The sequence below is a fragment of the Homo sapiens genome, chromosome 3, assembly GCF_000001405.40.
Source record: "Homo sapiens chromosome 3, GRCh38.p14 Primary Assembly".
In the NCBI taxonomy this organism is placed as follows: domain Eukaryota; kingdom Metazoa; phylum Chordata; class Mammalia; order Primates; family Hominidae; genus Homo; species Homo sapiens.
This window is the reverse complement of record NC_000003.12, coordinates 49,177,631-49,203,199: the sequence shown is the minus strand read 5'-3', so window position 1 is coordinate 49,203,199 and position 25,569 is coordinate 49,177,631. Positions and strand designations below refer to the sequence as shown.

The 25,569-nt window shown below is 49.9% G+C and overlaps 2 protein-coding genes across 8 annotated transcripts in view, besides 1 other annotated feature; one reads left to right on the top strand and one right to left on the bottom strand.

Annotated features, from left to right (window-relative positions):
- Window positions 1-11,891, bottom strand: part of IHO1 (interactor of HORMAD1 1) — a 66,798-nt gene extending 54,907 nt beyond the window's left edge. Inside the window, exons 1-3 of one of the 5 annotated variants that reach the window (NM_178173.4) lie at window positions 4,740-4,772; window positions 4,538-4,658; window positions 4,093-4,310 (exon numbers count right to left, since the gene is read on the bottom strand). The gene's annotated coding sequence lies outside the window, so the exon portion shown is untranslated. Of the gene's footprint in view, window positions 1-3,105; window positions 3,581-3,626; window positions 3,703-4,092; window positions 4,311-4,537; window positions 4,659-4,739; window positions 4,773-11,876 lie in introns of those variants that run through there. The other 4 variants (XM_011533672.3, NM_001135197.2, XM_011533673.3 and 1 more) reach the window with 4 other exon arrangements.
- Window positions 10,315-10,498: a silencer, noted in NCBI's record as "fragment chr3:49230135-49230318 (GRCh37/hg19 assembly coordinates)". NCBI's record gives its function as "represses an EF-1alpha promoter that drives an FKBP-Casp9 reporter gene in an ReSE screen in K562 erythroleukemia cells {active_cell/tissue: K562}" and the evidence as "EXISTENCE:reporter gene assay evidence [ECO:0000049][PMID:32094911]".
- On the top strand, window positions 11,342-25,566 carry CIMIP7 (ciliary microtubule inner protein 7). 3 transcript variants are annotated; one of them, NM_001080528.3, is made up of 4 exons: window positions 11,342-11,455; window positions 13,062-13,175; window positions 24,662-24,718; window positions 25,148-25,566. In NM_001080528.3, exons 1-4 carry the CDS (start codon window positions 11,429-11,431, stop codon window positions 25,562-25,564), a joined length of 615 nt encoding a protein of 204 aa, NP_001073997.2. In that variant the 5' UTR covers window positions 11,342-11,428; the 3' UTR covers window positions 25,565-25,566. The 3 variants fall into 3 exon arrangements, with proteins under 3 accessions (NP_001073997.2, XP_011532317.1, XP_011532319.1); XM_011534015.3 differs by having other exon boundaries at window positions 25,145-25,566; XM_011534017.3 differs by lacking the exon at window positions 13,062-13,175 and having other exon boundaries at window positions 25,145-25,566.

Sequence of the window (25,569 nt, the reverse complement as noted above, 5' to 3'; positions counted from 1 at the left end):
CTTCAAATTACTTATTCAAACTTGTAACCTCTAGGCCAGGAGTGGTAGCTCACACCTGTAATCCTAGCACTTCGCGAGGCTGAGGCAGGAGGATTGTCTGAGCTCTGGAGTTCAAGACCCACCTGGGCAACATGGTGAAACCCCATCTCTACTAAAAAAAATACAAAAAATTGGCCGGGCGCGGTGGCGGGCGCCTGTAGTCCCAGCTACTCGGGAGGCTGAGGCAGGAGAATGGCGTGAACCCGGGAAGCGGAGCTTGCAGTGAGCCGAGATTGCGCCACTGCGGTCCGCAGTCCGGCCTGGGCGACAGAGCGAGACTCCGTCTCAAAAAAAAAAAAAAAAAAAAAATACAAAAAATTAGCTGGACGTGGTAGTCCACACCTGTAGTTCCAGCTACTTGGGAGGCTGAGGCAGGAGAATCGCTTGAACCCAGGAGGCGGAGGTTGCAGTGAGCCAAGACTGCGCCATCGTACTCCAGCCTGGGTGAGAGAGCGAGACTCTATCTGAAAAAAATAAAAATAATTGGCTGGGTGCGGTGGTTCACGCCTGTAATCCCAGCACTTTGGGAGGCCGAGGTGGGCAGATCACGAGGTCAGGAGATCGAGACCATCCTGGCTAACACGGTGAAACCCCATCTCTACTAAAAATATGAAACACACACACACACACACACACACACACACACACACACACACACACACACAAAATTAGCCGGGCATGGTGTCAGGCACCTGTGGTCCCAGCTACTCAGGAGGCTGAGGCAGGAGAATGGCGCGAACCCAGGAGGTGGAGCTTGCAGTGAGCAGAGATCGCGCCACTGCACTCTAGCCTGGGCGACAGAGCAAGACTCTTCTCAAAAAAAAAAAAAAAAAAAAATTAAAAAGAAGTAACCTCTTGACAATCACTATGGCTCTCCCCTGCTTTTTTCTCTGCAACACATCATCATTCTAATACACTATTACACTATTCTAATAGTGTAATACTACATCATTCTAATGTAACACTACATCATTCTAATACACTATTAACTTGTCTTTTCTGTCTCTACAGATATCCATGTTTACTAGAATGTAATATTAAGCTCTTTTGAGGACAATAATTTTTTCTTTATTTACTACTACAGCCCTAGAACCTAAAAATCATTCCTGGAACATAATAGGAGCTCTGAAAACATTTCTTGTTTAATGAGTTAAAAACTTAGGAACTAAATTACAACTAGATTTTGTGGAGCAAAACATGCCAAATAGTCACAAATTTAAAATATATGGTTTTCTTTCCTTTTGAGCTGGGGCTTCACTCTATTAACCAGGTTGGAGTGCAATGTTGCGATCTTGGCTCACTACAACCTCCACCTATCAGGCTCAAGCAATCTTCCCAACTCAGACTCCTGAGTAGCTTGGACCACAGGTGCACGCCATCATACCTGGCTAATTTTTTGTATTTTTGGTAGAGACAGAGGTTTACCATGTTGCTCAGGCAGGTCTCACGCTCCTGAGCTCAAGTGATTCACCCGCCTCGGCTTCCCAAAGTGCTGTGATTTACAGGCGTGAGCCACCACACCCAGCCCAATTTTTTTTGGGATGCAGTCTCGCTTTGTCGACCAGCCTGGAGTGGAGTGGCGCGATCTTGGCTCACTGCAACCTCCATCTCCCAGGTTCAAGTGATTCTCCTGCCTCAGCCTCCCGAGTAGCTGGGATTACAGGCGTGTGCTACCACACCTGGCTAATTTTTGTATTTTTAGTAGAGACAGGGTTTCACCATGTTGGCCAGACTGGTCTTGAACTTCTGGGTCTTGAACTTCTGACCTCAGGTGATCCACCCGCCTTGGCCTCCCAAAGTGCTGGGATTATAGGCATGAGCCACCGCGCACAGCCAACTCGGCCCAATTTTTAAAAATTGTGGTAAATGGCCGGGTGCGGTGGTTCATGCCTGTAATCCCAGCACTTTGGGAGGCTGAGAAAGGCGGATCACGAGGTCAGGAGATCGAGACCATCCTGGCTAACACGGTGAAACCCCGTTTCTACTAAAAATGCAAAAAATTAGCCGGGTGTGGTGGCGGGTGCCTGTGGTCCCAGCTACTTGGGAGGCTGAGGCAGGAGAATGGCGTGAACCTGGGAGGCGGAGCTTGCAGTGAGCAGAGATCGTGCCACTGCACTCCAGCCTGGGCAACAAAGCGAGACTCCGTCTCAAAAAAAACAAAAAACTGTGGTAAGTACACCCTTATTCTCAATATGTCTAAGAACCAGCTGGGGCTTGATGTACTCAAACTCAGGTTCATCTCTCTTTTGTACATGTATTTATCTCCATGCTACCTGTATAGGCTTTTAAATTCCCAGAGGATGGAAATCCCATCTCTCTAAAGCTCTCCTTGAAGATGCTAGTACAGCACTAGTAAGGAAGAGGTATTCGTTCTAAGGTGGAACACGGTCATTCCAAGGTAAATGAAAACTGAAATGCACAGATTAAAAACTTTCACCTCTCACTCTCTTTCCTATTAAAGGAAGCATAAAAGGGGAGAAAAAGTTGAGTGCATGCAAGGAATGGAACTATATACAAGGGAAGGGCCCTGGCAGGGTGGGTACACAAGGGAGGAACACGTGAGGGGGAGAGGACCGCCCCGATTGGCATGGACTACCTCATCTGACCACCGTCGTCAACTCTACTGCGACAATCTTTTTTCTTTTCTTTCTTTCTTTCTTTCTTTCTTTCTTTCTTTCTTTCTTTTTTTTTTTTTTGAGACCGAGTCTCACTCTGTCGCCCAGGCTGGAGTGCAGTGGCGCGATCTCAGCTCACTGCCACCTCCGCCTCCCAGGTTCTAGTGATTCTCCTGCCTCAGCCTCCCAAGTAGCTGGGATTACAGGCATGCGCCACCACGCCCTGCTAATTTTTGTATTTTTAGTAGAGACGGGTTTTCGCTATGTTGGCCAGGCTGGTCTCGAGCTCCTGACCTCAGGAGATCCGCCTGCCTCAGCCTCCCAAAGTGTGGCGTGAGCCACCGCAGCCGGCCTACTGCGAGATTCTTGAGGCTGCGATGTGAGGCCCTCCAGGTGCCCCTCCCGTTCCTCCACTGCAGAAAGTTCTAGCAGAAAAAATCAGGTCTCTTACTCAGACTTCAGGCCCCCTGTGGCCACCGGCCCGCCTCAAACACTAATGGCCGGCCGCCTCTCTCATTTTCCGCCTCTTCTCCACCTGGAGACACGCTCTGAGCTCCTAGACTAAATCCTTCTGATGTCTTTCCAGAGGCCTCACAGGGTTTTCCCTACTCATAATCAAAGAGAAATCCCAGCGGGCTTCTCTGGGTCTCCGCTCACTCTGGCTCCCGGGGCGTACCCGGTCTCACTCCTCAACTCCAGGCGGGGATCTGGGATAGGAGGTCGCGGACCCCTGCGAATCGGATGAAAACTGCTCTCCAAGGATAAGCGCGGAAGTGAAGCCTCCTTCAAGAGCCAGAGCGGCCATCGCCATAGGGAAAGAAAGGGCAGGGGAGGGACTACAAGACCAACGTCCCGGGAAAGCCCGGGAGGACCGCTGGTATCCTGAACCCAGACCCACGGCCCCATCCGGCTCCTCAGCCCCTCCCCCCGCCTTTCCCCAACCCACCCTGCCCAAAGCCCTCCTGTCCCCACCTCTGGCTGCTGGCACGCGCCCGACCTGGGGCTGCCCTGACGTGGCTTCGAGGTGGCCGCGTCCCGCTGCCTCTGCAACGGCACGCGCGGCCCCGCCCCCAGGTCCTCTTCTGACCAATAGGGATTCCGTCCTGTCCCAGGGCCCCGCCCCGCCACGACAGGCAGCTAACGGTTTTAACTGTCCTAACGGCAACTCGCGCGGCCCCGCCCCCAGGGTCTCCTCTGACCAACTGGGATTCCGTCCAGTCCCCAGGGCCCCGCCCTCGCCGCGACAGGCAGCTAACGGTTTTAACCGTACTAATGGTCTCAACCGCGCTGATTGTGGGCCCCGCCAAGCTGCCTGCCTGGCGCCACACCGCTGCACGCCACACCCAGCCCACGTGCACCCCATGCAACGTTCCCTCACACCCCCACACTCACGCCGGAATGGCCACCCTCGGCCCACCTGGCATGCAGATCTACTCACTTGTCGCTCGACCTACACTCCACTGTGTATGACCAGAACAAGGAGGCCCTGGTCCCCAGGAATGGCAAGGCGCCACCTGTGAGGACAGCATGTGGGGTGGAACTGGTGGCCAGGGGCCAGAGCACAGATGATACTTGGGTGGTCTGAGCAAGGGCAGGACAGGCGGAGCAGCTGGCACGAGAGGCGCCGTGGGCAGATGGGGACATCGAACCGGGCCCCTGGAGGAAAGAGAAAGGAGGCAAGAAATCTTCTGAGGTTTCTGGCCTGCTGGATGCTGGAGTGGCCTGAGGGCAGGGACAGTGCGGGTAGGCAGGAAGGATCTATGTAACTCTGCCTCTGGTGCTTATAGATGACTTAGAAAGCAAAAAACATGCTTGAGACCAGCCTGGGCAGCATGGCGAAACCCCAGCTCTACAAAAAATTAGTCCGGCGTGGTAACACATGCCTGTGGTCCCAGCTACTCGGAGGCTGAGGCGGGAGGATCGTTTGAACCTGGGAGGTAGAGGTTGCAGTGAGCCGAGATCGCGTCACTACACTCCAGCCTGGGCGACAGAATGAGACCCTGTCTCAAAAAACAAACAAAAACAGGATGCAATCACCAATGGAGTATAAATGGAAAGGAGATTGGATTCAGCCCCAGGACACACCAGTTTAGAGGACTTTGGAGATGAAGGAAAAGCAGCCAAGGAGTTGGAGCAAGCCTGGTCAGGAGACGGGGAAAGACACCAGGAGAATGAGGCATTCTGGAAGGCACTTGGAACTGCTTCAAAGAGGAGGCAGAGATCAGCTATGACAAATGCTGCGGATGTGTTCAGGGAAGATTAGTTAGAATTAACTTTGAGTGACCTTGGTAGGAGCAGTTACAGTGATGTAGTGAGGATGAAAACCTGATTTGTGTATGGATTCAAAAAATCAAGAGGAGAGATTTGGCATATCCATACAATGGACAACTACTAAGCAATAAAAAGGAATGAACAATGGATACAACAACATGAATAAATTTCAAAATAATTACGCTGAGTGAAAGCCAAACACAAAAGAATACATACTGTATGATCCCATTTATATAAAATTCGAGAAAATGCAAATTAATCTATAGTGACAGAAAGCAGAGGTGTGGCATTGCCTGAGGCAAATGAGTGCCATAAGGAAAGATTACGACTAGGCAGAAGGAAACTTGGGGTGATGAACATATTTACTATCTTCTTCTTCTTTTTTTTTTTTTTTGAGATGGAGTTTCACTCTCAGGAGTTTCACCCAGGCTGGAGTGCAATGGCACAATCTCGGCTCACCACAACCTCCACCTCTGAGGTTCAAGCGATTCTCCTACCTCAGCCTCCCAAGTAGCTGGGATTACAGGTGCCTGCCACCACACCCAGTTAATTTTGTATTTTTAGTAGAGACAGGGTTTCTCCATGTTGGTCAGGCTGGTCTCAAACTCCAGACCTCAGGTGATCCACCCACCTCAGCCTCCCAAAGTGCTGGGATTACAGGTGTGAGCCACCACGCCTGGCCATATTTACTCTCTTGATGGCAGTGTTTCAGAGGTGTATACATATATCGAAATGCATCAAATTGTACATTTTCAATATGTGCAGTTTATCATGTATTAATTTTACCTAAATAAAGCTATAAAAATTAAAACATGGCTGGACACCATAGCTCATGCCTGTAATCCCAGAACTTTGGGAGGCCAAGGTGGGAGGATCCCTTGAGTCCAGGAGTTTGAGGTTAGAGTGAGCCATGATCATGCCACTGCACTGAAGCCTGAGCAACAGAGCGAGACTGTCTAAAACACATTTTTTTTAAGTAAAAATGGCCTGGGCATGGTGGCTCATGCCTGTAATCCCAGCACTTTGGGAGGCCAAGGTGGGCAGATCACGAGGTCAGGAGATTGAGAACATCCTGGCTAACACGGTGAAACCCCGTCTCTACAAAAAATACAAAAAAAAAAAAAAAATTAGCCGGCTGTGGTGGCACGAGCCTGTAGCCCCAGCTACTCGGGAGGCTGAGGCAGGAGAATCGTTTGAACCTGGGAGGCGGAGGTTGCAGTGAGCCGAGATGGCGCCACGGCACTCCAGCCTGGGCAACAGAGCGAGACTCCATCTCAAAAAAAAAAAAAAAAAAAGTAAAAACGTGGCCTGGCGCAGTGGCTCACTCCTGTAATCCCAGCACCCTGGGAGGCCGAGGCGGGCAGATCACGAGGTCAGGGGATGGAGACCATCCTGGCTAACACAGCGAAACCCCGTCTCTACTAAAAATACAAAAAATTAGCCAGGCGTGGTGGTGGGCGCCTGTAGTCTCAGCTACTTGGGAGGCTGAGGCAGGAGAATGGCGTGAACCCAGGAGGCAGAGGTTGCAGTGAGCTGAGATCGCACCACTGCACTCCAGCCTGGGTGACAGAGCGAGACTCGGTCTCAAAAAAAATCAATCAATCAATCAATAAAAATACAAAGCATTAGCCAGGTGTGGTGGCGCACGCCTGTAATCCCAGCTACTGGGGAGGCTAAGCCACAAGAATCACTTGAACCCAGGAGGCAGAGGTTGCAGTGAGCCGAGGTCATGCCATTGCACTCCAGCCTGGGCGACAGAGCAAGACTTCACCTCAAAAAAAGAAAAAAAATAGCCGGGCGTGGTGGTGGGCGCCTATAGTCTCAGCTACTTGGGAGGCTGAGGCAGGAGAATGGCGTGAACCCGGGAGGTGGAGGTTGCAGTGAGCCGAGATCGCGCCACTGCACTCCAGCCTGGGCAACAGTGAGACTGTCTCAAAAAAAAAAAAAAAAGTAAAAACGTTACAGATAGAGTTGAAGCTCCATTCGGTCCTCCCTGATACCATTCCCCTTGCTCCCCTCCCCAGGTGATTTTTTTTTTTTTTTTTTGTGACGGAGTCTTACTGTCGCCCAGGCTGGAGTGCAGTGGTGCGATCTTGGCTCACTGCAAGCTCTGCCTCTCGGGTTCATGCCATTCTCAGCCTCCTGAGTAGCTGGGACTACAGGCACCTGCCACCAAGCCCAACTAATTTCTTTTTGTGTTTTTAGTAGAGATGAGGTTTTACCGTGTTAGCCAGGATATTCTCGATCTGCTGACCTTGTGATCCGCCCGCCTCGACCTCCCAAAGTACTGGGATTACAGGCATGAGCCCCCACACCTGGCCTGTATTTTTTTTTTTTTAGTAGAGATGGGGTTTCACTGTGTTAGCCAGGATGGTCTCATCTCCTGACCTCGTGATCCGCCCACCTTGGCCTCCCAAAGTGCTGTGATTACAGGCGTTAGCCACCGCGCCTGGCCCCCAGGTGATTTCTATCCTGTTATTTGTTTCCCATCATTCCTATGCACACTTTATTTATATATTTATTTATTATTTATTTATTATTTTTGTTGTTGTTGTTGTTTTGAGATGGAGTCTCACTCTGTGGCCCAGGCTGGAGTGCAGTGGCGTGATCTCAGCTCACTGCAAGCTCGGTCTCCTGGGTTCACACCATTCTCCTGCCTTAGCCTCCTGAGTAGCTGGGACTACAGGCGACTGCCACCACACCCAGCTAATTTTTTTGTCAAGTAGAGACGGGGTTTCACCGTGTTAGCCAGGATGGTCTCTATCTCCTGACCTCATGATCTGCCCGCCTTGGCCTCCCAAAGTGCTGGGATTACTGGTGTGAGCCACCACGACTGGCCTCTTTTTTTTTTTTGAGATGGAGTCTTGCTCTGTCGCTCAGGCTGGAGTGGAATGGCGTGATCTCAACTCACTGCAACCTCTGCCTTCCAGGTTCAAGCGATTCCCCTGCCTCAGCCTCCCAAGTAGCTGGGATTACAGACGCATGTCACCACGCCCAGCTAATTTTTTTGTATTTTTAGTAGAGACGGGGTTTCACCATGTTGGCCAGGCTACTCTTGAACTCCTGACCTCAGGTGATCTGCCCGCTTCGGCCTCCCAAAGTGCTGGGATTACAGGCAAGAGCCACTGCAGCCAGCCCATGCTTTTTATTTTTAATTATTACATTTTTAAAATTATTTATTTATGTAAAAATAGAGACAGGGTCTCATATTGACCAGGCTGGTCTTGAACTCCTGGACTCAAGCAACCTGCCTGCCTTGGCCTCCCCAAGTGCTGGGATTACAGGAGTGACCCATCACACCCAGCCAGTTCATATGTTTGTATCCATAAATCATAGCATTGTTTTGTATATTTGTATTATTTTATTTATTTATTTATTTGAGACGGGGTCTCATTCTGTCTCTCAGGCTGGAGTGCAGTAGCACAATCATGGCTCACTGCTGCCTCGCCCTCCCGGGGTCAAGCAATCCTCCCACCTCAGCCTCTCGAATAGTTGAGACCACAGGTGCACGTCACCATGTCTGGCTAATTTTTGTATTTTTTGTAGTGATGGGGTTTCGCCATGTTGCCCAGGCTGGTCTGTAACTCCTGGGCTGAAGCAATTCGCCCACCTCGGCCTCCCAAAGTGCTGGGATTACAGGCATGAGCCACCATGCCATGCCGATTTTATAAATGGTATACTTTGGGCTGGGCACGGTGGCTCACGCCTGTAATCTCAGCACTTTGGGAGGCCGAGGTGGGTGGATCACGAGGTCAGGAGATCGAGACCACAGTGAAACCCCCTCTCTACTAAAAATAAAAAAAATTAGCCAGGCGGGGTGGTGGGCACCTGTAGTCCCAGCTACTCAGGAGGCTGAGGCAGGAGAATGGTGTGAGCCCGGGAGGCGGAGCTTGCAGTGAGCCGAGATCACACCACTGCACTCCAGCCTGGGCAACAGAGCAAGCCTCCGTCTCAAATATATATATATATATATATATATATACACTTTGTACTTTTTTTTTTTTTTGAGATAGAGTTTCCCTCTCATTGCCTAGACTGGAGTGTAATGGCACGATCTCGACTCACTGCAACCTCTGCCTCCTGGGTTGAAGCAATTCTCCTGCCTCAGCCTCCTGAGTAGCTGGGATTACAGGTGCCTGCCACCGCACCTGGCTAATTTTTCCATTTTTAGTAGAGATGGGGTTTCACCATGTTGGCCAGGCTGGTCTTGAATTCCTGACCTCATGATCTGCCTGCCTCAGCCTCCCAAAGTGCTGGGGCTACAGACGTGAGCCACGGCACCCAGTCTGACTCAACTTCTTTTTTTTTTTTTTGAGATGGATTCTCACTCCGTCACCCAGGCTGGAGTACAGTGGCACAATCTCGGCTCACTGCAACCTCTGCCTCCCGGGTTCAAGCGATTCTTCTGCCTCAGGCTCCTGAGTAGCTGGGACTACAGGCATGCGCCACCATGCCTGGCTAATTTTTGTATTTTAAGTAGAGACGGGGTTTCACCATGTTGGCCAGGCTGGTCTCGAACTGCTAACCTCGTGATCCACCCACCTTGGCCTCCCAGAATGCTGGGATTACAGGCGTGAGCCACTGCACCTGGCCTTTTTTTTTTTTTTTTTTTTTTTTTTGGTAGAGTCTCGCTTTGTCGCCAGGCTGGAGTGCAATGGTGTGATCTCTTCCTCCTTGGCCTCCCAAGTAGCGTAGCTGGGACTACAGGCGCCACCACACCCAGCTAATTTTTGTATTTTTAGTAGAAATGGGGTTTCACCATGTTGGCCAGGCTGGTCTTGATCTCTTGACCTTGTGATCCGCCCGCCTCAGCCTCCCAAAGTGCTGGGATTACAGGCGTGAGCTACCGCTCCCGGCCAACTCAACATCTTTACGGTTTTTGTTTTGTTTTCTTTTGTTTTTGAGATGGGGGTCTCATTCTGTCACCCAGGCTGGAGTACAGTGGTGCAATCTCCATTTACTGCAGTCTCCACTTCCCGGGCTCAAGTGATCCTCCCTCCTCAGCCTCCCAAGTAGCTGGGACCGCAGGCGTGTGCCACCACACCCAGTTAATTTTTTGTATATTTGGTAGAGACAGAGTTTCACCATGTTGCCTAGGCTGGTCTCAAACTCCTGAGCTCAAACATTCTGCCCACTTCAACCTCCCAAAGTGCTGGGATTACAGACGTGAGTGACCGCACCTGGCCAACATTTTTAAGATTTACCTCTGTGGATTCTAATATCTGTAGCCCATTTATAGTAACGCTAGTAATTTCATTGTGTGACTATAGCCCAATTTTCTTATTGTCCCGTTGGTCAACACTTGGGTTGCTTACAGTTTTTCCTTTGTATAGATGCTACAGTGAATATTCATTCATTCATTCATTCATTCATTTATTGAGATGGGGTCTCATTCTGTCACCCAGGCTGGAGTGCAGTGATGTGATTATAGCTCACTTCAGCCTCAATCTCCTCAGGCTCAGGCAATCCTCCCACTTCAGTCCCCCAAATAGCTGGAACTACAGGTATATGCCACCACACCCAGCTGATTTTTGTATTTTTTGTAGAGACCAGGTTAGCCATTTTGCCCAGACTGGTCTGGAACTCCTGGGCTCAAGCGATTTGCCCACCTCGGCCTCCCAAACTGCTAGGATTACAGTTGTGAACCACCAAGCCCAGGCCAATGAACCTTTTAATACCTGTGAGTTCGCATGAGAGGGGCTCTCCAGGGTGACTACACTGGGGCAGACATTCTGGATATTAGGGCTTGTGCCATTGACACTAGCAGGGTCTTGGGTGTTTTACTGGCACATGTTTAGAGGCTGATTGTCAATTTCTTTTGGTTGTTAAAGGGGGTGAACTGTTCAAGTCCCTCTTTTACAAATAAGAGAGAATTCAGTCAAAAATTTGTCAAAGGGTAGCTCAGAATGGAACCATAATGTCAAATCTTTGCATGTTCCTTCTTCTGTTCTGTTATGCCCTATTCCTTTACTTGGCCCTTGTAACATTTCACCTGTCATGATTAGCATTCCTGGTCACCACAAACTCCTAAGAGATAAATTGTTAGAGCCTATTCTGAAGCAGTAATTTTATCCTAAAAGCCACCAACCTCTTTAACATTTCTTCTGACTCCATGAAATGCTTTCTAAATTTATATTCCTGGCAGTATGGATGCATAGGTTTTTAAATGCAGGATTTGCCTGCATTTAAAATGTTCTTTGAATATTTCATTGGCTGCGAATCCATTAGACTCTACCATGGAGCCCTGTGTGTTTCTATATATAAGGGCTCTTCAGGCTGTTAATGCCAAGGGGCAGGTTTTTCTCACAGAGAAGAACTAGGGCAGCAAGGACAAAGGGGCAACAGGTCATGTACTGTCTCAACAAACAGCAGCAGCATTGTGCAGTCACAACCTTCCCTTGTCACTAAGCAACAAAAAATTGACCTCCAGAGATTCTCTTTCCTGAAGATACCCTCCAAAAGACAAGAGGAAAGTTTGCCTTTTCTGCTCCCTTCTTGGAAAGATGCAAAGTGCTTTAGTAGGCTCCTGGGTAAGAGTGCACTTTATGTTAATCCTGGCCCCTGGCCCTCTGGTTGTACCTGAAATCTGACTGAGTCATGCCGGTGAAGTGAAAAGGTTTTCATTTGGCATCCAACCTGGAATAGGACCCTGAGCCGCCCACTTCCTCTCCACCATCTTGAGGTCACCCCTGGAGGCTGCCTAGTCTTCCTAACACTTTGCCCCCTTCCATGCATCATGGTCTCCTGAAAGCCAGTGGAAATTCCTAGTCCTCTAGCCACCCCATTTATTCCTAGTTAATTGTTTGAGCCTCCCAAGCTTTTGGAGTTTGGCTGCTCTCTAGTCTGGGAACATTTTGAGGGCAAAGATTGTGTTTTTGTCCATCTGTATTTCCCATGCTCAGCCCCACGCCTGGAAGACAATAAAGGTCTGATAAATACTGTTGAGCTAACCTGAATAGAGAGTGAGGGGTTCCTGACAGAGAAGGATAGACAGACAAAGTGATCCACGTCTTCAGTGGGATGGAAAGATATGAGGCTTTCTAGTCCTGTTAAATAGCCCATTGTGATGGCCAGAGGGCAGGCTTAGGATGGGTTCTTCTGCTCAGTGTTATAATTGTGGAGGGCCAGACACACCCATCGTCTCCAGGGAGAACTCAGGACAAAGAGGTTGGGCCATAGGAGTTCCCAGACATGATCATCCACAGAGTGTACACGTAATGACATCAGCACAGTACAGCCCCTTTCTTGGACCTCTGATAGTTGCTTATTTCTGTCTCCTGACAGTTCCTCTCTCTGAAATTCTCTCCAGGCCAGGCGCAGTGGCTCACGCCTGTAATCCCAGCACTTTGGGAGGCCAAGGTGGGCAGATCACGAGGTCAGGAGTTCGAGACCAGCCTGGCCAACATGGTGAAACCCTGTTTCTACTAAAAATACAAAAATTAGCCGGGTGTGGTGGCGGGCGCCTGTAATCCCAGATACTCGGGAGGCTGAAGCAGGAGAATTGATTGAACCCGGGAGGCAGAGGTTGCAGTGAACCAAGATCGCACCACTGCACTCCAGCCTGCAGACAGAGCAAGACTCCGTCTCAAAAAAAAAAAAAAAAAAAAAAAATTCAGCCTGGCATGATAGTGGGCGCCTGTAGTCTCAGGTACTTGGGAGGCTGAGGCAGGAGAATGACTTGAACCCGGGAGGCGGAGGTTGCAGTGAGCTGAGGTTGTGCCACTGTACTCCAGCCTGGGTGAAAGAGCAAGACTCTGTCTCAAAAAAAAAAAAAAAATTGTGGAGAGAACAACAAAGGGGATTTCTTCTCAGGCTCTTTAGGGAAGGACCACACCCCTGATCAGTGGCCCTGCCCACAAATCTCTGCTCTAAATGAATGGCACTCCTTCCCTACACATGCATAGCCCAGGTGGGTCATTACAGCTGAGGTCAACTGTCCCAATGATGGATGAAGACACTTCTATACTGGCCCATCTCCAGGAGTGTCCTAACTCCTTAGATTCTTTCTATTCTGTCAGGAACTTCCATGAGGGGCTTCTGGTCTGGCTTTCCTGGAACCCTCAGTTGGGGCCCTGAGGTCTAGGATCCATGGTGGAGATTTGAGTGAGTTTTATCCTCATTCCTGTCTTGTTATAGCACAACAATGGCTTCTATGGGCACTACAGAAGCCAATTCAAGAGTGAAAGTGCTAGAGAATACCACCTTGCAGCCAAGCCCCAGCCTCCAGCAGTGTTCCTGCAGCGATGTCAGGTACAAGGCAGACCTGAAGGCAGCGGGGGTGACTAGACCAGTTCTTGCCTCTCCCAGAACCCAAAAGCATCATCCCAGCCCTTCCATGGCTGTACTGACACCTATCCCTGGGACAGGCTTTACCTTTCTTCTCTGAGATGTCAGATCTTTCCCCTACAGACAGGGTGGAAAAGAGTGAGTGCCAAACTGAACCATATTGCTCACTGCCCCTTCTAGATGGACAAAGGGTAAGGGCCTAGCCGGGGTGGGTAGCTACAGGCAAAGAGCCTCTAGAACCCAGGAAGTAAGCCTTGAGTTTTGCTGACAACTACCTTCACATTCAGATTCCTTAATGCTAAGAAAGCCCATGGTCCATTCCACAGCCAGCTTCACAGTCCAGGTCCTTAGAAATTAGTAGGAGGCCTCCTCTGGTCAGGGAAGTAGTACAGGAGGCAGCTGGTTACTGGCCTACACATTTGGCCAGGGAATACTGGAAAGGAGTGATGGCTGAGATAGCCTGGAGTGGCTATAGCAGGCTTCTGGAGAATGGGAAAGGGATACAGGGCCCTAGGCCCTTTACTACTTACAAGCCTGGAGACAAGGAAGGGGCACTGTGTATCATAAATCAGGGTCACAGCTGGGCGAGGTGGCTCACGCCTGTAATCCTAGCACTTTGGGAGGCCAGGGCAGGTGGATCACTTGAGGTCAGGAGCTCGAAACCAGTCTGGCCAACATGGTGAAACCCCATCTCTACTAAAAATACAAAAAAAAAAAATAGGCAAGGTGCGGTGGCTCATGCCTGTAATCCCAGAACTTTGGGAGGCCGAGGTGGGAGGATCACCTGAGGTCGGTAGTTCAAGACCAGCCTGACCAACATGGAGAAACCCCATCTCTACTAAAAATACAAAATTAGCTGGGCTTGGTGGCGCATGCCTCTAATCCCAGCTATTCGGGAGGCTAAGGCAGGAGAATGGCTTGAACCCAGGAGGTGGAAGTTGCAGTGAGCCAAGATCAGATAGCGCCATTGCATTCCAGCCTGGGCAACAAGAGCAAAACTCCGTCTCAAAAAAAAAAAAAAAAATAACCGGGCATGGTGATGCACACCTGTAATCCCAGCTACTCAGGAGGCTGAGGTAGGCAGAATCGCTTGAACCTGGGAGGCAGAAGTTGCAGTGAGCCAAGATGGCACCACCACACTCCAGCCTGGGTGACAGAGTGAGACTCGGTCTCAAAAAATGAAATAACATAAAAAATAAATAAATAAATCGGAGTCACAACAGTAACAAGCATACTCAAAACAGCAGAACTCGGAAGGGTATGTTTACAAAAGATTGCTTGTGACAGCCTCAGATAAAGGCATTCCCACAGGCTGGTAACAACCAAGTGGTTAGTACTACTGAGCCCAAAGGGGGACAAGGGGGAGGCATGGCTTCTGGAATCGAGAAGGAGATAAAGGTATGAAAAGGGTCACCCTGACAGGATCAGTGATCCTAGGTACAGAGACATAGCCAGGTGGGATGTGGCCTAGGAGGGAGCCAAGAGAAGAAACACCTCCTCTCTCTTTTCCTCCATGTCCTCCCAGGGTTCCCTGGTGGCCAGAACAAAGGGAGCCTAGTGTGGGGTGCAGTCAGGTCAGCCTCCGGAGCAACAACTGGGTAGAAGAAAGGCCCAGAGGGACCTGAAGGGGTGCCTAAAACAGGTACCACCCACTGCACCTTCTTGCTTCCCAGCCTTTTGCCAGGTCCTACTTGATCTGCCATCTGGATTTTCTATGAATTGCTTTCCCAGGCTGAGACCAGGGTCCTGAAGGCTGCTATTTTATGGAAACTGAACTTCCTTAGCATATACACTTGCAAGGGCTGCCTGCTACAGCCTACCAAGCCAGGCCCAGATGCAGCTCCATACTGCCCATCCAGGGCCACCTCCCTTTTGAGAGTGAAGGGATCTGGGAAGTACAGAAAGAGAAGCAACACAGAGACTTCCTGCTGTATGTTTGTCATTGCCCTCAGTGGCAGCTCTCCTCCCAGAGACTGGAACATCCTATCAATCTGTTAAACTCATTCCTCAGAAACAGACATGTAAGGGGCATGTTTTGGCTGCTGATCAATGTAAGGACTTGCTACATAAAAAATTTACTAGCATTATCAGCAGCCCCAAGTAGCATAATCTGTGTCTTGGATTCAGGTTATATAAATGTCAAATCTCACAGTTCTTTCTAGGTCTAAAGCTGTTTTAATTAATAGGACTGCTCAGAGAAGTTGCACATTTTCTTTTTGCACTGGCTGAGAGGTACCAGGTTTCAGCTGGCAGATTCTAGCTATTGTTTAAAGCCTTTCCAAGATGTAGCATCCACTCTCCTTTGGTTTGTAAAATTTTTGTCCATGACATACAGATGCAAGAAAATTATGGGTTTTTTTTTCATTTTTTTTCTAAAGCAGATTAATCTATTTCCAGCCGTCAACTGCCTGATTCTTGGGAAATATAATTCTGGTTCTCTTAGTTCCTCAGGTTGGACAGGAATCCTGTCTGGTTGGGTGCATGTTCTTCACCTGTGGTGCCATGATTGCTGGGCCCTTGCTGCCATCCCATCCCTCAGTTTGCCAAGGAGCTTCCTCTCTTAGTGCAGACTGCCCAGCCTCCACAGGGGCCCTTAGCCCTCCCACATGCAAATACTGCCCCTTCCAAAGAAGCCCACTTCTCTTCCAAGTCCTCTTAAGATGGAATCCCAGTCCTAGCTCTACCTGCTCAGAAACCATGGATTTTACCACCTCGTTGGAAAAGGAGCCTTGAATGATTAAGAAACAAAGATGCTAGTGATCATTCTTTGCAGGGCAAGAATACCCAGAATTGCCTGGGTAGAGAGGAAATGACTGTGCTTCTCACCAAGCTCCCACAGTTTTGAGAGAACAAAACTCATTGGGCGTCAATAAATTATCCTGCCACTATAGGAATAGTGAATTTCCAGTCAGAGGTGCCTCCGACAGGAAAGACATGTACATTCTAGGGCTAAGTGTAATTCAGTAGCTGAGGATAGACAATGGGAGAAATTTGGGGGTCAATTGAAACTTGCCCCAGACTCCTAGATTTTATTTTAATTGAAACTTTCATTGAAATAATTATCAATTCATAAGCAGTTGTAAAAAATAATAGAGATTTCTTTTACACTTTGCCTGGTTACCTTCAATGGTAACATCTTGCAAAGCTATAGTATAATATCACAACAAGGACATTGACATTGATTTAATCACTAAAGTTCATTCAAATTTCCTTAGTTTTACTTCTGCGTGCGTGCGTGCGTGCGTGTGTGTGTATTAAGAGCTATGGGCGGGGCGTGGTGGCTATAGGCTGGGTGCGGTGGCTCACGCCTGTTATCCCAGCACTTTGGGAGGCCAAGGCAGGCGGATCACGAGGTCAGGAGATCAAGACCATCCTGGCTAACATGGTGAAACCCCATCTCTACGAAAAATACAAAAAATTAGACAAGCATGGTGGCGGGCGCCTGTAGTCCCAGCTACTTGGGAGGCTGAGGCAGGAGAATGGTGTGAACCCGGGAGGCGGAGGTTGCAGTGAGCCGCGATCGCACCACTGCACTCCAGCCTGGGCGACAGACTGAGACTCCATCTCCAAAAAAAAAAAAAAAATTAGCCAGGTGTGGTGGCAGGCGCCTGTAGTCCCAGCTACTCAGGAGGCTGAGGCAGGAGAATGGCGTGAACACGGGAGGTGGAGCTTGCAGTGAGCTGAGATCGCAACACTGCACTCCAGGCTACACCTGTAATCCCAGCACTTTGGGAGGCCAAGGCGGGTGTATCACCTGAGGTCGGGAGTTCAAGACCAGCCTGACCAACATGGAGAAACCCTGTCTCTACTAAAAATACAAAATTAGCCAGGGTGGTGGTGCATGCCTGTAATCCCAGCTACTTGGGAGGCTGAGGCAGGAGAATTGCTCGAACCCGGGAGGCGGAGGTTGTGGTGAGCCGAGATTGCGCCATTGCACTTCAGCCTGGGCAACAACAGCAAAACTCTGTGTCAAAAAAAAAAAAAAAAAAGAGCTATAAAATTATAGCCGGGCGCGGTGACTCACGCCCATAATCCCTGCACTTTGGGAGGCTCAGGCGGGTGGATCATGAGGTCAGGAGTTTGAGACTGGCCAACATAGTGAAACCCCATCTTTACTAAAAATACAAAAAATTGGCAGGGAGTGGTGGCTGGCACCTGTAATCCAAACTACTTGGGAGGCTGAGGCAGGAGAATAGCTTGAACCCAGGAGGCAGAGGTTGCAGTGAGCTGAGATCGAGCCACTGTACTCCAGCCCAGGCAACAGTGCGAGACTCCGTCTCGGGGAAAAAAAAAAAAAAAGCTTTAAAATTTTATCACCTGTGTAGTTTTGTGTATCTAACACCACAGTTGACTGTGATGGTAGACCAACATCACAAGGGATCCCTGGTGCTGCTCTGGTTTTTTTGTTGTTTTTTTGTTTTGTTTTTGGAGTTCCGCTCTTGTTGCCCAGGCTGGAGTGCAATGGTGTGATCTTGGCTCACTGAAACCTCTGCCTCCCGGGTTCAAGCAAATCTCCCACCTCAGCCTCCTGAGTAGCTGGGATTACAGGTACCCACCACCGTGTCCAGCTAATTTTTTTTATTTTTAGTAGAGACAGGGTTTCACCATATTTCCCTGGTTGGTCTCAACCTCCTGATCTCGGGTGATCCACCTGCCTTGGCTTCCCAAAGTGTCAGGATTACAGGTGTGAGCCACCCTGCTTGGTCTATGTAATTTTTTTTTTTCTTTAAGACAGAGTCTTGCTCTGTCACCTAGGCTGGAGTGCAGTGTCGTGATCTCGGCTCACCACAACCTCTGCCTCCCGGGTTCAAGTGACTCTCCTGCCTCAGCCTCCTGAGTAGCTGGGATTACAGGCATGCACCACCACACCCGGCTAATTTTGTATTTTTAGAAGAGATGGGGTTTCTCCATGTTGGTCAGGCTGGTCTTGAACTCCCGACCTCAGGTGATCCACCCACCTCGGCCCCCCAAAGTTACAGGCCTGAGCCACTGCGCCTGGCCCCCATTTCTAAATCAATCAATCTTCCATTTCTAAAATTTTGTCACTTAAAAATGTTATAGGTCGGGCGCAGTGGCTCACGCCTGTAATCCCAGCACTTGGGAGGCCGAGGTGGGTGGATTGCTTAAGGCCAGGAGTTTAAGACCAGCCTGGCCAACATAGTGAAACCCCATCTCTACTAAAAATACAAAAAATTTGCTGAGGTTGGTGGCTCACGCCTGTAATCATAGCTACTCGGGAGGCTGAGGCAGGAGAAGTGCTTGAATCTGGGAGGCAGAGGTTGTGGTGTGCTGAGATCACGCCACTGCACTCCGGCCTAGGTAAGAGAGCAAGACTCCATCTCAAAAAAAAAAAAAAAAAAAATTACATAGGCCAGGTGCGGTGGGTCATGCCTGTAATCCCAACACTTTGGGAAGCCAAGGCAGTGGACTGCTCAAGGTCAGGAGTTCAAGACCAACCAGGGCAATATGGTGAAACCCTATCTCTGGTAAAAATACAAAAATTAGCCAGTGTGGTGGCACATGCCTGTAATCCCAGCTACTTGGGAGGCGGAGGCATAAGAACCTCTTGAACCTGGGAGGTGGAGGTTGCAGCAAGCCAAAATCACACCACTGCACTCTAGCCTGTGCTACACGTGAGACTCTGTCTCAAAAAAATAAATTAAATTAAATAAAATTGAAATGTTATATAAAGCTGGGCACAGTGGCTCATGCCTCTAATCCCAGCACTTTGGGAGGCCAAGGCAAGAGGATTGCTTGAGCCCAAGAGTTCAAGATCAGCCTGTGCAACATAATGAGACCTCATCTCTTAAAAAAAGTTAAACAATTAGCCAGGCATGATGGCATGCACCTGTGGTACCAGCTACTCCAGAGGCTGAGGTAGGAGGATTGCTTAAGCCCAGGAGGTCAAGGCTGAAGTGAGCCATGATTGTGTCACCGCACTCCAGCCTGGCAACAGAGTGAGACCTTGTCTCAAAAACAGTTATATAAATAGAATAATACAATATGCACCCTTTGGAGACTGGCTATTTTTGCAGCATAATTTCCTAGAGATTCATCCAAATTATTGTGTGTATCAATAGTTCATTTATTTTCATTTACTGAGTAGTATTTCCTTGGTACCAATGTACCAGTTTGTTTAATCATTCATCTGTTAAAGGATATCTGACCTGATTCCAGTTTTTGGCTCATACAAATAAAGCTGTTAAGAATATTTGTATATAAACTTTTGGTTGAACATATGTTTTTGTCTCTCTGGGATAAATGCCCAGGAATACAATTGCTGGGTCATGTGGTAGTTGCATGTTTAGTGTTTTTGTTGTTTTGTTTTGTTTTCGAGACAGAGTCTCACTCTGTCGGCCAGGCTGGAGTGCAGTGGCACGATCTCAGCTCACTGCAACCTCCGCCTCCCGGGCTCAAGCAATCTCATTACAGGTGTGTGCCACCATGCCCAGCTAATTTTTGTATTTTTAGTAGAGACAGGGTTTCACCATATTGGCCAGGCTGGTCTTGAACTCCTGACCTCAGGTTATCCACCCACCTCAGCCTACCAAAGTGCTGGGATTACAGGATGAGCCACCGCGCCCGGCTGCATGTTTAGTTTTTAAAAGAAACTGCCAAACTGTTTTTGAGAGTGGCTTTACCACTTTATATTCCTACCAGCAATGCATGAATGATCTGGTTTCTCTGCATTCTCACCAATACCTGATGTTGTCTCCATTTTCAATTGGAGCCATTCTGATAGATGTGTAGTGATATCTTATTGTGGTTTTAATTTGCATTTCCCTGATGTTTAATGATGAATATCTTTTTGAGAGGTGACAGCGTGCTGGCAGCCCTCACAGCCCTTGCTTGCTCTCGGCACCTCCTCTGCCTGGACTCCCACTTTGGGGCACTTGAGGAGCCCTTCAGCCCGCCGCTGCGCTGTGGGAGCCCCTTCCTGGGCTTGCCGAGGCCCGAGACGGCTCCCTCAGCTCGCGGGGAGGTATGGAGGGAGAGGCCAGAGGGGGAACTGGGGCTGCGCGCTGTACTTGCCGGCCAGCGTGAGTTCCGGGTGGGCATGGGCTCAGCGGGCTGCACTCGGAGTGGCTGGCCCCCCCGCCCCGGGCAGTGAGGGGCTTAGCACCTGGGCCAGCAGCTGCTGTGCTGAATTTCTCGCCAGGCCTTAGCTGCCTTCCCGCGGGGCAGGGCTCGGGACCTGCAGCCTGCCATGCCTGAACCTCCCCCTTCACTCCCTGGGCTCCTGTGCAGCCCGAGCCTCCCCAACAAGCGCCGCCCCCTGCTCCATGGCATCCAGTCCCATTGACCACCCAAGGGCTGAGAAGTGTGGGCACACGGCGCGGGACTGGCAGGCAGCTCCACCTGCAGCCCCAGTGCGGGATCCACTGGGTGAAGCCAGCTGGGCTCCTGAGTCTGGTGGGGACTTGGAGAACCTTTATGTCTAGCTAAGGGATTGTAAATACACCAATGGGCACTCTGTATCTAGCTCAAGGTTTGTAAACACACCAATCAGCACCCTGTGTCTAGCTCAGGGTTTGTGAATGCACCAATTGACATTCTGTATCTAGCTACTCTGGTGGGGGACTTGGAGAACCTTTGTGTCCACACTCTGTATCTAGCTAATCTGGTGGGGAAGTGGAGAACCTTTGTGTCTAGCTCAGGGATTGTAAACGCACCAATCAGTGCCCTGTCAAAACAGACTACTGGGCTCTACCAATCAGCAGGATGTGGGTGGGGCCAGATAAGAGCATAAAAGCAGGCTGCCCCAGCCAGCAGTGGCAACCCGCTTTGGTCCCCTTCCACGCTGTGGAGGCTTTGTTCTTTCACTCCTTGCAATAAATCTTGCTGCTGCTCACTCTTTGGGTCCACGCTGCCTTTATGAGTTGTAACACTCACCACGAAGGTCTGCAGCTTCACTCCTGAAGCCAGTGAGACCACGAACCCACCCGGAGGAACGAACAACTCCAGACGCGCCGCCTGAAGAGCTGTAACACTCACCGCGGAGGTCTGCAGCTTCACTCCTGAGCCAGCGAGACCACGAACCCACCAGAAGGAAGAAACTGGGAACACATCCGAACGTCAGAAGGAACAAACTCCGGACATGCCGCCTTTAAGAACTGTTAACACTCACCGCGAGGGTCCGCGGCTTCAGTCTTGATGTCAGTGAGACGAAGAACCCACCCATTCCGGACACATTTTCATGTGTTATTTGTCGTCTGTAAATCTTCTTTGGTTAGATGTCTTCATGTTTGTCCATTTTCTAATTAGACTGTGATTTTACTGTTGAGTTGAGAGACTTCCTTATATATTCTAGTCCTCTGTTGGATATATGGTTTATAAATATTTTCTCCCAGTCTGTAGCTTGGTTCGCAGTGGCACGATCATGGCTCATTGCACCCTTGACCTCTTAAGCTCATGTGATCCTTCCACTTCAGCTTTCCTAGTTGCTGGGACCACAGGTATGCACCACCACGCCTGGCTAATTTGTTATTTTTTGTAGAGACAGTGTCTGGGAGCCTTTCCACACTGCCCAGGCCGGTCTTGAACTCCTGGGCTCAAGCAATCTTTCCTCCTTGGCCTCTCAAAGTCCTGGGATTACGGGTGTAAGCCACTGCACGGCCTCAGCTTGCTTTTTTTTTTTTTTTTTTCTTGGAGATAGAGTCTCTCTGTTGCCAAGGCTGGAGTGCAGTGGTGAGATCTCGGCTCACTGCAACCTCCACCACCCAAGTTCAAGCAATTCTCCTGCCTCAGCCTTTCGAGTAGCTGGGATTACAGGCGCCCACCACCACACCTAGCTAATTTTTGTATTTTCAGTAGAGACAAGGTTTCACCATGTTGGCCAGGCTGGTCTCGAATTCCTGGCTTCAAGTGATCTATCCGCCTCTGCCTCCCAAACTGCTGGGATTATAGGCATGAGCCACTGTGCCCAGCCTCAGCTTGCATTTTGAGGAATGAAAGCTTCCCACCTTCTTGGAGTTTTCATTCTGCTTGAAGACTACCATCAGACTGTCTAAGGCAGGCGGTTCTAAAAAGGGAACTCTTTTTTTTTTTTTTTTTTTTTTGAGACGGAGTCTCACTCTGTCGCCCAGGCTGGAGTGCAGTGGTGTGATCTCAGCTAACTACAAGCTCCACCTCCCGGGTTCACGCCATTCTCCTGCCTCAACCTCCCGAGTAGCTGGGACTACAGGCGCCCGCCATCACACCCAGCACATTTTTTGTATTTTTAGTAGAGACGGGGTTTCACCATGATAGCCAGGATGGTCTCGATCTCCTGACCTCGTGATCCGCCCGCCTCGGCCTCCCAAAGTGCTGGGATTACAGGCGTGAGCCACCGCACCTGGCCTAAAAAGGGAACTCTTAAACACACATACAATAAGCTCTACTCTGAAGATTCTGGTTCAGGGATGGAGCCAGCCCCTGTATTTTATCTGGGGACCTGCTGTCAGCCATTACCTATACTCCCAAGCCAGCCAAGCCTGACCTCACCAGATCTGGCCACTTCAGGTCTACAGCAGGAGAAACTGAGTGACTGGAGAGGGAATGGCTCTGCAGGCAGAAGCCAAGCACAAAGGCAAGAAGGTGTTCTTGGGACAGATTCCTGCTGAAGTCTGGAGGCCTAAGAGATGGGCTTTCTCTGCATGGGAGTGGAGCAAGGCTCTCTAGCTCCAACTGAGCCAAAGTAAATGCCCTGGGGCCAGGACCTTCTGTCCCTGTTCATTAATTTTTTTTTTTCTGTTGCCCAGGCTGGAGTGCAGTGGCTCAATCTTAGCTCACTGCAACCTCTGCCTCCCAGGTTTAAGCAATTCTCCTGCTTCAGCCTCCTGAGTAGCTGGGATTACAGCCAAACACCATCACACCCAGCTAATTTTTTTGTGTGTTTTAGTAGAGACGGGGTTTCACCATGTTGGCCAGGTTGGTCTCGAACTCCTGACCTCAAGTGATCTGTCCGCCTCGGCCTCCCAAAGTGCTGGGATTACAGGCATGAGCCACCAAGCCCGGCTAATTTTTGTATTTTTAGTAAAAACGGGGTTTCACTATGTTGGCCAGGCTGGTCTCAAACTCCTGACCTCAGGTGATCCACCCGCCTCGGCCTCCCAAAGTGCTGGGATTACAGGTGTGAGCCACCGTGCCCAGCCTGTTTATTGATTTAACAGCAACATTTATTGAGCTGTGTCAGGCATTATTCTCAGTGCTGAAGTTATAGATGTGAGCAAGACAGACCGCCTTTGCCCACAAGCAGCTTATGTTTAATGGCGGGGCATGAGATGTTCTAATCAGTGGGGGTAACATCACATAGAACAATATAGTATGTTAGCAGGTGAAAAATGCAGGGTTAGGGTGATGGAACTATTGGCCTAGTGCTCAAGGAAGGAAAAGAGGGAGGTGTGAGGGAATTATATGGCCAGGAGAAGGAACAGGTGGTGCAAAGCCCTAAGTGGGAGCACCTGGTGTGTCTGAGGAGCAGTGAGGAAATCAGTGTGGCTGGAGGTAACAGAAGGACCAATATCATGTGGGTCTCACAGACCACTATGATGACTTTGGCTATCACAAATAGGAGGAACTGTTGTGGATTTTCAGCAAATGAGATGTGATCTCATTTATGTACTAACAGAATTATGCTGGCTGCTAAGCAGACAGCAGACTGGAGGGGTAAGTTTGAAAGCAGGGACACCAGGCAGGAAGCTCTTGCAATAATTCAGGCAAGAGAGTAATGTGGCTTGGATCGGGGAAAAGAGTGGGCATGCTGAGATGTGGTCTGGTCCTGGGCACATTTTGACCACAGTATCAACAGGATACTTGCATATTCAATGTGGGGTATGAGAGAAGAGAATCAAGGGGACTCAAGGTGTTTGACAGGATCTGGCTGCCGTGGTCTGAGCTGGGGGAGGCTATAGGTGGAGTGTGTCTGGGGATGACCCAAAGCTCAGTCATATGTTTGGAGATGCTCAATTAGGCATTTACATGGAGATGTGGAGTAGGCAGTTGTCTACTGAACCCAAAGTTCAGGAGAAAGTTTGAGCTGGAGATAGAAATTCCAGTTTTCAGATGGCATTTAGAGCCAAGAGGCTGGGTATGTTGATGGGGGAGTAAGTGTGGATGCAGGGGAGGAGAGGACTAGAGTCCTGGGCAATCAAGAGTTAAGGCCCAACTTGAAACTTGGCCACTGCTCCCCTGATGGGAGGATGTTCTAGCAGATGCCTCCTTATTGAGGACCCTCCTCAATAAGGGTTCCACGGGCTTCTGCTTCAGGGCAAGTCCCAGGTTGAGATATCCCAGGACTGAAGTGTTGCTTTAATTAGTCTCTGCCCTCTGTCTGTTGGCAGTTTAGCAGCTTAGGGGCAGTGGCTCCTGGTGACTTCCCTCCATTAAGGACCCTGAGGCAGTGATCCAGGTAAGGGTGGGTAAATAAGCATCATTTTCCCCATTCACCTTCTTTCTCACTGTCTTTCAAGGAGCCGGCGCAGCGACACTTCTTCTCCAAGCACGACAACCGTACTTCCTTTGACAAAGTGAGTGCCGAAGACAGGAAGAATGGCAGGCAGTCCCCCAGCCTAAGCTGAAGTCTGGACAGAGCAGATGGTAGGGTGGAGGGGATGACACTGAGGGAGGGCTCCTTATGAAGGCAGAGGAGTGGCTGTCTTCCCCCACAAACTTTCTCCTCTGGGAAACAGCCTATTCCCCCAAACAGAGACATCTCTATGTTGGTTTCCTCTGCCAACTTGCCAGACAATATGCAAGTATCCTGTGGGCCACTAACTTTCTGGGTGCTTCACCTTAGAATGAAAGACATCACTGGGGAGGCAGGCCAAGGAGGCCAGGGTACAGGCCAAGACAGCCAGGCATAGGACAGGTATCACCAAGCAGACTTGGGGTTAGGAGGGGCCCAAGAAGGTGCTTGGTGCCAGGAATGTGGGCCAAGGGCCCATACCGTTGAGGAGGGTCCCTATTGCCTGCTGCAGGGAATCGGAAGGCGGAAGGACCTGGAGCGCCTGTGGCAGCGGCACACCTTCCTGCGCTGGGCACCCTGTGAGATAGAGTTGCGCCAGCAGGGGCCCCTGGAATCTTCTTACCAGGCTGATTTCAGGCCAGGCCCAGGACTCAGTGGCCTCCCCCAGCACCTCATCCACTTTGTGCAGGTCCAGCCTTCCCATACCAGGACCACCTACCAGCAGAACTTCTGCTGCCCATCCCAGGGTGGCCACTATGGCAGCTACAAGGTAGGGCCCCAGGCGCCGGTCACTGACGTACTGCCTGACCTCCCAGGGATCCCAAGACCCAAGCTGCTGCAGCACTACCTTCATGCTGGGGTCTCTGAGTGTCTAAACTGGTCCAGAGCATTAAACAAGGACAGCTGACACAG